The sequence below is a fragment of the Homo sapiens genome, chromosome 15 (assembly GCF_000001405.40).
Source record: "Homo sapiens chromosome 15, GRCh38.p14 Primary Assembly".
Classification (NCBI taxonomy): Eukaryota; Metazoa; Chordata; class Mammalia; order Primates; family Hominidae; genus Homo; species Homo sapiens.
The window spans coordinates 51,170,379-51,182,607 of NC_000015.10; the positions used below are offsets into that span (position 1 = coordinate 51,170,379).

General features: G+C 42.3%; 1 long non-coding RNA gene across 1 annotated transcript in view; it reads left to right on the forward strand.

Annotated features, from left to right (window-relative positions):
- Positions 1–12,229, forward strand: part of MIR4713HG (MIR4713 host gene) — a 256,425-nt gene that overhangs the window by 132,891 nt on the left and 111,305 nt on the right. The window lies entirely within an intron of this gene.

The following is a 12,229-nucleotide window of genomic DNA, read 5'->3' on the forward strand; positions in this document are numbered from 1 at the left end:
GATATTGGTATGTCTAATAATATACTTGTCCAGTATAGGTGTTTCTCAGACCATGGAACAACTTTGACTGGAATTATAGCACAGAGAGACAAAATAATTTGTGAGGAAAAACTCTAGAAAGTATTGCAAAGAGATGTGACTATATCATTTGTTAGTACAGACTTTTGTAAAATATAAATCTAAGGATAGCTGCATGGATATCATTAAAATACAGTATCATTTGATGATGTAAATTAGTCTGCACTTATAGGCATGAAGTATAAGAGCAATTATGCTGAAGTACATAAGAAATTGTTAAAGAGAATTTGGCTACAAATTGAGAATAAAAATGAAAACACTTAAAAATTATTGTGTTAGAAATGAAATCCTACTTTGTACAGTAAAATCTCAGTTATGTGACAAATATAACCCTGAAAAACATAATACTTGAAAGCATTTTCTTAGACACATAAAGTCTATGGGAAGTTGGGAAATGGAAGTGTGATTTGATGCTTGTCTTTCATGTGTTGGAAGTCTGAGTAGTGTAGTGAAGCCAACAGTGATACTAACACCTTCGTTGGTAGATGCAAAAGGGCGTCTCAGGCAGTGGGAGTTACTGGTCTTAGAGACCAGATAGAAATAAGGGCCAGGATGAGGTTTGGACCTAAGAAGTCCGGAGGGACAGGGTGGGGCAGTCTCAGGCCTGGGGCTTCGATAGGGAGAGAGAGGGAGCAGAGCTATTGTGGAAGTCAGCATTCTGGGCAGACAGGCCTGGGTACAAATACCAGTGTGGGGACCCTAGCACAGTATGGGAGCTCTGGAGCTTGGGGGCTAGTGAAGGAAGCCTGGAAGCAGGAGCTGGGACAGGGAGGCCTGTCTCACCTCTCTCCCGCTCCTCCTTTCCTTCCTCCTCTGGAGCTGGTTGTTTAAACATCACAGGGAAATTTGCACAGCCTGGTGGGTTCTCCCTACAAAGTTTCCAGCTTACAGACTTAGTACAGACAGAAACAGCTCCATGATGTTGAGCCTGTTGCTTGTCACAGAATGGGACTTAGTACACTGGTGACTACGATTAAAAGGGAAAGAGCTTTAAAAGGAACCCTGTAAGAGGGTTTGTTCTGTCCTGGGCAGTGTCGTCTCTGTGACCCCAGCGTGGGTGTTGGGAAACATGCCATTCAAAATGAATAGCGGTGAGCTACTTAGCGGGATTACAATCAATACACACAGGGCTGTTTGCTCTCCTTTCTCGTCTGAGACAAGCCTCAGAGCATCAGGAGGAGGCATTTGCCAGGGGTGAGGACCCAGGTGGGCAGAGCCAGTGGCTGTCATGGTGGACCACTGTCGTCCTGGCCTATTCAGAGCACCCTCACCCCACCCATGGCTTCCACTGGGGATTTGCTCATCCTTGCCCCAAGCATGCAGTACTCACGGGGTACCACATAGAGCCTATCTCCCTGCCGTTCCCCAGCTCCAAGAGATCTGGTCTAGAACTGAGATAGAGAATCTTTCCTGGGGCCAGGACTTTAAAGGGAAAGACTTTCTTAGAGCCAGAGGAGACTATTTGCAACAGGGTCTTCTCAAATATGCCCCTGTGCTATTGGTTTGGGTAAGATCTAGTAGGTCACATCAGTAGTCAGAGAGCTAATGGTGTTTACACATTTTGATCTTCCCTCAGCCAGGGCTAAAGGACTACTAATAGCTACAGGATGTCAAATCCTGCAAGAATAAGAATGTGGATAGTAGAAAGGGAAATTTTAACTGCCGTTAGAATCGTAAAATTTAATCAAGTCCAGAAATTAAACAGCTGAGAGAAGGCCAAGTTTGGGGAAGTGGAATACAGTGAGTTATTCTCCTCACCTGGCCTCTGAAGACACAAGATCAGAGAGTGTTAGTGGAGGCACTGGCAAAGTCTAAGAGAGAGTTAAGGAGAATATGTGGAATGTGGTTGAGTTCCTCTCTCCCTCCCTCTCTTCGGGGAAAGGAAATGAAAGTTGGCAGCAGGGTGTATATATTTTTGTACTACTTGAATTCTTTATCATGCCAGAGCGCTGGTTTTCTATAAATAAAAAGTAACGCTGTAACAGTAACATTCAGTATGACTGAGTTGGGCTGAGATAGCCTTTCTTAAATATTGGCAAACAATGCTAGAAAGTAATTTGGCAACATGTTTCAAAAGCCATAAAACATACATATCCCTTTACTCTGGTTTTACTTTTAGGAATTTATCATAAGGAAATCATCCTTGCAGGATTTTTCTAAATGGAAAAATTGAAAACCACTTTGGAAATACCCAACAATAGGGAAATGAAAAATCAGATCAGATACCAAAATGTGAATGTTGGTCATCTTTGCATGTGGTACAGGACCACAACCTCTAACTTAAGACTTTTTGGGCATCCTGGCTAACATGGTGAAACCCTGTCTCTACCAAAAATACAAAAAAATTAGCCGGGCATGTTGGTGGGCGCCTGTAGTCCCAGCTATTCGGGAGGCTGAGGCAGGAGAATGGAGTGAACCCGGGAGGCGGAGCTTGCAGTGAGCAGAGATCGTGCCACTGCACTCCAGCCTGGAGCCTGGGCGGCAGAATGAGACTCCATCCAAAATAAATAAATAAATAAAAATAAAAGACTTTTTGGGTCAGATGGTGTTAGAATCCAGAATCTTTTGGAGTTCAGAAAGGTTAACATAGACCACTGGGGCTAGGAGAAGTGCCCTGTTATCAAACTCATTAATAGTTCTGCCTTAAAATATAGGATATTCACACTAAGTGGAATAAATGAAAGCTATGAACATTTTCCATCAGTTCAGCTCAAGTTTCCTCACCAAATTTTCCATCTTCAGAGTTCTCACATTTCCCACTTCTGCATAGAGAGTGCCCCAAGGCAAGGCTACCTTCAAGGGGCTGGTGGCCACTGAGCACCCCAGAGGCTCCTCTGCTAGTGAGCAGGTGAACCAGGGACTGTGGCTCTGTTCTGCAGACCTGCCTTTCAGGTTTAAGGGAGCCATGTGACGGGGAAGTAGAAAACCATTTTATTTCACATTTAGCATTTTCTCTGTGCAAACAGCTCTCTTAGCAGCAAACTCCAGAGGGTAGAATCTGGGCATTCATCCTAAACTCTCAACAGACCTTTGAGTTAATATTTGGGGGAGGAGCCAAGATGGCCGAATAGGAACAGCTCCGGTCTACAGCTCCCAGCGTGAGCGACGCAGAAGACGGGTGATTTCTGCATTTCCATCTGAGCTTTGAAGAGAGCAGTGGTTCTCCCAGCACGCAGCTGGAGATCTGAGAACGGGCAGACTGCCTCCTCAAGTGGGTCCCTGACCCCTGACCCCCGAGCAGCCTAACTGGGAGGCACCCCCCAGCAGGGGCACACTGACACCTCACACGGCAGGGTATTCCAACAGACCTGCAGCTGAGGGTCCTGTCTGTTAGAAGGAAAACTAACAAACAGAAAGGACATCCACACCGAGAACCCATCTGTACATCACCATCATCAAAGACCAAAAGTAGATAAAACCACAAAGATGGGGAAAAAACAGAACAGAAAAACTGGAAACTCTAAAACGCAGAGCGCCTCTCCTCCTCCAAAGGAACGCAGTTCCTTACCAGCAACGGAACAAAGCTGGATGGAGAATGATTTTGACGAGCTGAGAGAGGAAGGCTTCAGACGATCAAATTATTCTGAGCTACGGGAGGACATTCAAACCAAAGGCAAAGAAGTTGAAAACTTTGAAAAAAATTTAGAAGAATGTATAACTAGAATAACCAATACAGAGAAGTGCTTAAAGGAGCTGATGGAGCTGAAAACCAAGGCTCGAGAACTACGTGAAGAATGCAGAAGCCTCAGGAGCTGATGCGATCAACTGGAAGAAAGGGTATCAGCAATGGAAGATGAAATGAATGAAATGAAGCAAGAAGGGAAGTTTAGAGAAAAAAGAATAAAAAGAAATGAGCAAAGCCTCCAAGAAATATGGGACTATGTGAAAAGACCAAATCTACGTCTGATTGGTGTACCTGAAAGTGATGGGGAGAATGCAACCAAGTTGGGAAACACTCTGCAGGATATTATCCAGGAGAACTTCCCCAATCTAGCAAGGCAGGCCAACAACGTTCAGATTCAGGAAATACAGAGAACGCCACAAAGATACTCCTCGAGAAGAGCAACTCCAAGACACATAATTGTCAGATTCACCAAAGTTGAAATGAAGGAAAAAATGTTAAGGGCAGCCAGAGAGAAAGGTCGAGTTACCCTCAAAGGGAAGCCCATCAGACTAACAGTGGATCTCTCGGCAGAAACCCTACAAGCCAGAAGAGAGTGGGGGCCAATATTCAACATTCTTAAAGGAAAGAATTTTCAGCCCAGAATTTCATATCCAGCCAAACTAAGCTTCATAAGTGAAGGAGAAATAAAATACTTTACAGACAAGCAAATGCTGAGAGATTTTGTCACCACCAGGCCTGCCCTAAAAGAGCTCCTGAAGGAAGCGCTAAACATGGAAAGGAACAACCAGTACCAGCCGCTGCAAAATCATGCCAAAATGTAAAGACCATCGAGACTAGGAAGAAACTGCATCAACTAACGAGCAAAATCACCAGCTAACATCATAATGACAGGATCAAATTCACACATAACAATATTAACTTTAAATGTAAATGGACTAAATTCTCCAATTAAAAGACACAGACTGGCAAGTTGGATAAAGAGTCAAGACCCATCAGTGTGCTGTATTCAGGAAACCCATCTCACGTGCAGAGACACACATAGGCTCAAAATAAAAGGATGGAGGAAGATCTACCAAGCAAATGGAAAACAAAAAAAGGCAGGGGTTGCAATCCTAGTCTCTGATAAAACAGACTTTAAGCCAACAAAGATCAAAAGAGACAAAGAAGGCCATTACATAATGGTAAAGGGATCAATTCAACAAGAGGAGCTAACTATCCTAAATATATATGCACCCAATACAGGAGCACCCAGATTCATAAAGAAAGTCCTGAGTGACCTACAAAGAGACCTAGACTCCCACACATTAATAATGGGAGACTTTAACACCCCACTGTCAACATTAGACAGATCAACGAGACAGAAAGTCAACAAGGATACCCAGGAATTGAACTCAGCTCTGCACCAAGGGGACCTAATAGACATCTACAGAACTCTCCACCCCAAATCAACAGAATATACATTTTTTTCAGCACCACACCACACCTATTCCAAAATTGACCACATAGTTGGAAGTAAAGCTCTCCTCAGCAAATGGAAAAGAACAGAAATTATAACAAACTATCTCTCAGACCACAGCGCAATCAAACTAGAACTCAGGATTAAGAATCTCACTCAAAGCCGCTCAACTACATGGAAACTGAACAACCTGCTCCTGAATGACTACTGGGTACATAACGAAATGAAGGCAGAAATAAAGATGTTCTTTGAAACCAACGAGAACAAAGACACAACATACCAGAATCTCTGGGATGCATTCAAAGCAGTGTGTAGAGGGAAATTTATAGCACTAAATGCCCACAAGAGAAAGCAGGAAAGATCCAAAATTGACACCCTAACATCACAGTTAAAAGAACTAGAAAAGCAAGAGCAAACACATTCCAAAGCTAGCAGAAGGCAAGAAATAACTAAAATCAGAGCAGAACTGAAGGAAATAGAGACACAAAAAACCCTTCAAAAAATCAATGAATCCAGGAGCTGGTTTTTTGAAAGGATCAACAAAATTGATAGACCACTAGCAAGACTAATAAAGAAAAAAAGAGAGAAGAATCAAATAGACACAATAAAAAATGATAAAGGGGATATCACCACCGATCCCACAGAAATACAAACTACCATCAGAGAATACTACAAACACCTCTATTCAAATAAACTAGAAAATCTAGAAGAAATGGATAAATTCCTCGACACATACACTCTCCCAAGACTAAACCAGGAAGAAGTTGAATCTCTGAATAGACCAATAACAGGAGCTGAAATTGTGGCAATAATCAATAGTTTACCAACCAAAAAGATTCCAGGACCAGATGGATTCACAGCCGAATTCTACCAGAGGTACAAGGAGGAACTGGTACCATTCCTTCTGAAACTATTCCAATCAATAGAAAAAGAGGGAATCCTCCCTAACTCATTTTATGAGGCCAGCATCATTCTGATACCAAAGCCGGGCAGAGACACAACCAAAAAAGAGAATTTTAGACCAATATCCTTGATGAACATTGATGCAAAAATCCTCAATAAAATACTGGCAAAACGAATCCAGCAGCACATCAAAAAGCTTATCCACCATGATGAAGTGGGCTTCATCCCTGGGATGCAAGGCTGGTTCAATATACACAAATCAATAAATGTAATCCAGCATATAAACAGAGCCAAAGACAAAAACCACATGATTATCTCAATAGATGCAGAAAAAGCCTTTGACAAAATTCAACAACCCTTCATGCTAAAAACTCTCAATAAATTAGGTATTGATGGGATGTATTTCAAAATAATAAGAGCTATCTATGACAAACCCACAGCCAATATCATGCTGAATGGGCAAAAGCTGGAAGTATTCCCTTTGAAAAGCAGCACAAGACAAGGATGCCCTCTCTCACCACTCCTATTCAACATGGTACTGAATGTTCTGGCCAGGGCAATCAGGCAAGAGAAAGCAATAAAGGGTATTCAAATAGGAAGAGAGGAAGTCAAATTGTCCCTGTTTGCAGATGACGTGATTGTTTATCTAGAAAACCCCATCGTCTCAGCCCAAAATCTCCTTAAGCTAATAAGCAACTTCAGCAAAGTCTCAGGATACAAAATCAATGTACAAAAATCACAAGCATTCCTATACACCAACAACAGACAAACAGAGAGCCAAATCATGAGTGAACTCCCATTCACAATTGCTTCAAAGAGAATAAAATACCTAGGAATCCAACTTACAAGGGATGTGAAGGACCTCTTCAAGGAGAACTACAAACCACTGCTCAAGGAAATAAAAGAGGATACAAACAAATGGAAGAACATTCCATGCTCATGGGTAGGAAGAATCAATATCGTGAAAATGGCCATACTGCCCAAGGTAATTTATAGATTCAATGCCATCCCCATCAACCTACCAATGACTTTCTTCACAGAATTGGAAAAAACTACTTTAAAGTTCATATGGAACCAAAAAAGAGCCCGCATCGCCAAGTCAATCCTAAGCCAAAAGAACAAAGCTGGAGGCATCACACTACCTGACTTCAAGCTATACTACAAGGCTACAGTAACCAAAACAGCATGGTACTGGTACCAAAACAGAGATATAGATCAATGGAACAGAACAGAGCCCTCAGAAATAATGCTGCATACCTACAACTATCTGATCTTTGACAAACCTGAGAAAAACAAGCAATGGGGAAAGGATTCCCTATTTAATAAATGGTGCTGGGAAAACTGGCTAGCCATATGTAGAAAGCTGAAACTGGATCCCTTCCTTACACCTTATACAAAAATCAATTCAAGATGGATTAAAGATTTAAACGTTAGACCTAAAACCATAAAAACCCTAGAAGAAAACCTAGGCATTACCATTCAGGACATAGGCGTGGGCAAGGACTTCATGTCCAAAACTCCAAAAGCAATGGCAACCAAAGCCAAAATTGACAAATGGGATCTAATTAAACTAAAGAGCTTCTGCACAGCGGGGGAAACTACCATCAGAGTGAACAGGCAACCTACAACATGGGAGAAAATTTTCGCAACCTACTCATCTGACAAAGGGCTAATATCCAGAATCTACAATGAACTCAAACAAATTTACAAGAAAAAAACAAACAACCCCATCAAAAAGTGGGCGAGGGACATGAACAGACACTTCTCAAAAGAAGACATTTATGCAGCCAAAAAACACATGAAAAAATGCTCATCATCACTGGCCATCAGAGAAATGCAAATCAAAACCACTATGAGATACCATCTCACACCAGTTAGAATGGCAATCATTGAAAAGTCAGGAAACAACAGGTGCTGGAGAGGATGTGGAGAAATAGGAACACTTTTACACTGTTGGTGGGACTGTAAACTAGTTCAACCATTGTGGAAGTCAGTGTGGCGATTCCTCAGGGATCTAGAACTAGAAATACCATTTGACCCAGCCATCCCATTACTGGGTATATACCCAAAGGACTATAAATCATGCTGCTATAAAGACACATGCACACGTATGTTTATTGCGGCATTATTCACAATAGCAAAGACTTGGAACCAACCCAAATGTCCAACAATGATAGACTGGATCAAGAAAATGTGGCACATATACACCATGGAATACTATGCAGCCATAAAAAATGATGAGTTCATGTCCTTTGTAGGGACATGGATGAAATTGGAAACCATCATTCTCAGTAAACTATCGCAAGAACAAAAAACCAAATACCGCATATTCTCACTCATAGGTGGGAATTGAACAATGAGATCACATGGACACAGGAAGGGGAATATCACACTCTGGGGACTGTGGTGGGGAGGGGGGAGGGGGGAGGGATAGCATTGGGAGATATACCTAATGCTAGATGACGAGTTAGTGGGTGCAGCGCACCAGCATGGCACATGTATACATATGTAACTAACCTGCACAACGTGCACATGTACCCTAAAACTTAAAGTATAATTAAAAAAAAAATAATAATAATAATAAATATTTTATCAAGGCACATGTTGGATATTTGCCCAATATAAGTTGTTGGTCTTTTCATCAGATCACTGTCTGAAAACACCAGCTCTCTTGCGCCTTCTCTTGTTTATGTACACGTTGGCTCTAGCGTCACTGTTACAATCTCTCTTTATTGTCCTTTCTTCACTAGGTCACACTGCCCTGCATGTGCTCCCCTGCTGCATATACACATTGTGACTAAATATCATTTAGTCTTGTTTTCACATCTGTCTTAAATGTCTAAATCCCCAACTTAACTCTTTCTCATTTAACCTTTTTATAGGTAGAATTGTTTCCCGTATAGAGTTCACTTTTCTTCTCTAGGGGAAGGTAACTTTTTTGAGCTTCCTATTTATAGTCATTAAGGTTCAAAATTTATAGCATTAGATGCTAGCTTGCAGAAAAATGGAAGGGAGGTGAATGATTTTTGCCTGGTTGAAGTGAAAATGCTTCTGTCTGGTAGAGGAGGGAACCCCAAGAGTGATGGTTTTATTGCTATGTAGGGCATTAACTAGTTTCATATCTAATTTAGCAATCTCATTCCCCTGTTCTCTTTTTATCACTGACTCTCTATATATATCATTTCCTTGTGTCATCCTTTGAGCCAGTTTTTTTCATCCTGCCTTCTCTCATTAATGAATTATGTAAATCTTTTGACACATGCTCCTTATATATTTATATGAAAGTTACATTTTTAGCATTTTGAAATTATACTTTGACACCCCCAAATGTGACTGAGATTGAGTTTCTCACCACTCCGGAGAGTCGTCAAAGCTGGATTATTCTGAGTTAGAAAAATGAAGTAGTCTGGAATTCTTGCTCCTGAGTGTGGTGGTTTAAGGACCAGTTTTAAGAGTGGGAAATTATCGGGCCAGGGAGCCGCCCCTAAATCTCTCTCGAGGGCAATGTTTAAAGCTTAAAAAAATAAAATGGAGTGGGTGGGATGGTGTTCCACTGTGCAGTGCATATTACATATTTATTCATTTATCCAATCAATTTACTCACCCACCACACGTTTATTGAGCATCTACTATTTGCTAGGCACCGTTCTAGAATCTAAACGATGGTTTTGGGAAGACAGAAGTGAAAGTTCTGTTCTCCAGAAATCCCCAGAGTAATGTGGTGGGTAGAGGCCTAAGAGGTCAGTGATGTAAGCATGGTGGTCAGTGCATAGAGGGTTATGAGAACAACATGGTGTGGGTGAGAGCATGGGGATCATGGGAGCCTGCAGCACTGGCTCCTGACACATCCTGAGAGGTGGCTCCAACTGAGTCTTAATGTAGGAGTAGGACTTAGCCACATATGAAACTGAGAAAAGACCATTCTGGGCAGAAAAGCATTGAAGAAAGGATGGAAGAGAAAACATCTTTGGATGTGTGGATGTGTACGGAGGTCCTTGTCCCCAGAGCATCAGGTGTGATCAAGGAGTGGCATGTGCTCCATAAATAAGCTTTTATTTATGGTTAATTTTAGGTGTCAACTTGACAGGGCTTGGAATGCCCATATAGCCAGTTAAACATTATTTCTGGGTGTGTTTTGAGAGTGTTTTCAGATGAGAGTAACATCTGAATTGGTGGGCTGAATAAAGCAGATCATACTTCCCAAGGTGGGTGGGCCTTATCCAACCCCTTGAAGGCCTAAGTAGAACAGAATGGCAGAGGAAGGTCGCATTCTTTCTCTTTGCCTAACTGCTGAGCTGACACATTTGTCTTCTCCTACCCTTAGGCTGGGACTTGCACCACCAGAGTGGCTGGTTCTCAGGTCTTTTGACTAAAGTTTACACCCTTGGCTTTCCTGGGTAAGGAGGAAAACTTGCAGATGGCAGACCATGGAACTTCTTAGTCTTTATCATCATGTGAACCAATTCCTTATAATAAATCTCATTTGAGAATCTATCTATCTATCCTCCCTCCTATTGATTCTGTTTCTTTGGAGAACTCCAACTAATACAACTTGTATTCTTAATTGATGTTCTCCTCTACCTCTACCATGTGCTCTTTTTTTTTTTTTCCTTCTATCTTGTGGACATTCCTCTCTGCCAATGGAAGGGAGGGAATGAGAACAATTCTTCTCTTTTCTAATGGCAATTAGGGAAGAGTTAGCATCTTCTTTGAGGGGAAAGAATCAGAAAACAAGCAGCAGCACATTTCTGGTTTCACCTTCAAAGGTCTCTTACACAGAAGAAGAGTTTTCAAGAATTACATGAGCATATTTCCCAGCCCCTCATATTGGAAATAATTTTCATGACTTTGGGGAAAATAACTTGAGTTTCCAGCTCAATTCTCTAGTTCCAGAAATCACAAGGGAACCAGTTTCAATTAACATGTCTAGTTGTCTACTGAGGAGGCCAATGAGGACTGCCGCCAAGAGGCAGTTGGCTGCAGGGACTCCGTTCCCCCAAACTTGGCTCAGCATCCAGCTGACACCCATGGACAACCCACTTTCAATGGCCCAGAACTCTGGAGGCCCACTATATAACAGATGGTGGGGCTGGGGTGGTGAGGGGTGAGGTGGTGTGAGGCTGAGAACTCCTGCACCTGGGCAAGTTGGGAGGAGAAAGAGCCGGCTGAGATCACTCCTCAAGTGGAATAGGATGGATTGACTTCTTTGATTACAGCTAGCACCAGTGTCTGCAGTCTACAGGAAGGGTGCTGCATGTCTCCCACATGTCCAGACGGAGGCAGTGAGAGGAGGAGGGAAGCTGTGCCTCTCTGGATGGGATTTCAGCAGGTTGGAGAGTGCAGGTCTTTTGGGTGTCATGTGTGGTCATTCCAAGTTGCCTCTTTAGGTTCCGTATCAGTTGGGAATTGAGTATGTCTATGTATTAGTTATTTATGACTGTATAATAAATTTAGTGCCTTAAAACAACAATAAACATTTATTATCTCACACAGTTATTATGAATCAAAAGTTTGGGAGCAGCTTACTTGGTGGTTCTGACTCAAGGTCTCCAGTGGGATTGTGCTCAAGATGTTACTGGGGTTTCAGTTGTCTGAGAGCTTCATGAGCCAGGGGCTCTGCTTCCAAGTGTTCATTCACAGGGCTGGCAAGTTGATGCTGACTATTGGCAGGAGGCCTTGATTCTTGGCCATGTGGACTTTTCTGTAGGGCTGCTTGCGTGTCCTCATGACCTGGCAGTTGCCTTCCCCTAGAGTGAGTGATCCAGGAGAAAGCAAGGCAGAACCCACCATGTCTTTTATGACCTAGAAATCACAAATTGTCATTTTCTTAATATCCTATTGGTTACACAGGTCAGTTCTATTCAACATGTGGAAGGGCTATACAAGAGCACAAATCCTCCCAGTGGTCCCAGTGAGGACCACTGGGAGCCACCTTGGAGGCTGGCTACCAAACTCCCCTAATAACAGGCCTGAAACAAGTGATAGGGCTTTATTTTTCTCCTACATAAAATAAGTCTGGAGGTGGAGATCGCTACCACAGGCACCTTTTATCTCTCTGTGCTCTCATCCTTAGGGTTGCCTCATGCTTCCAAGATGGCCTCAGCAGCTCCTGTCCTCATGTCTGAGTTCCAATTAGCAAAGGAAGGAGGAAATGCAAAAGGGCTTCC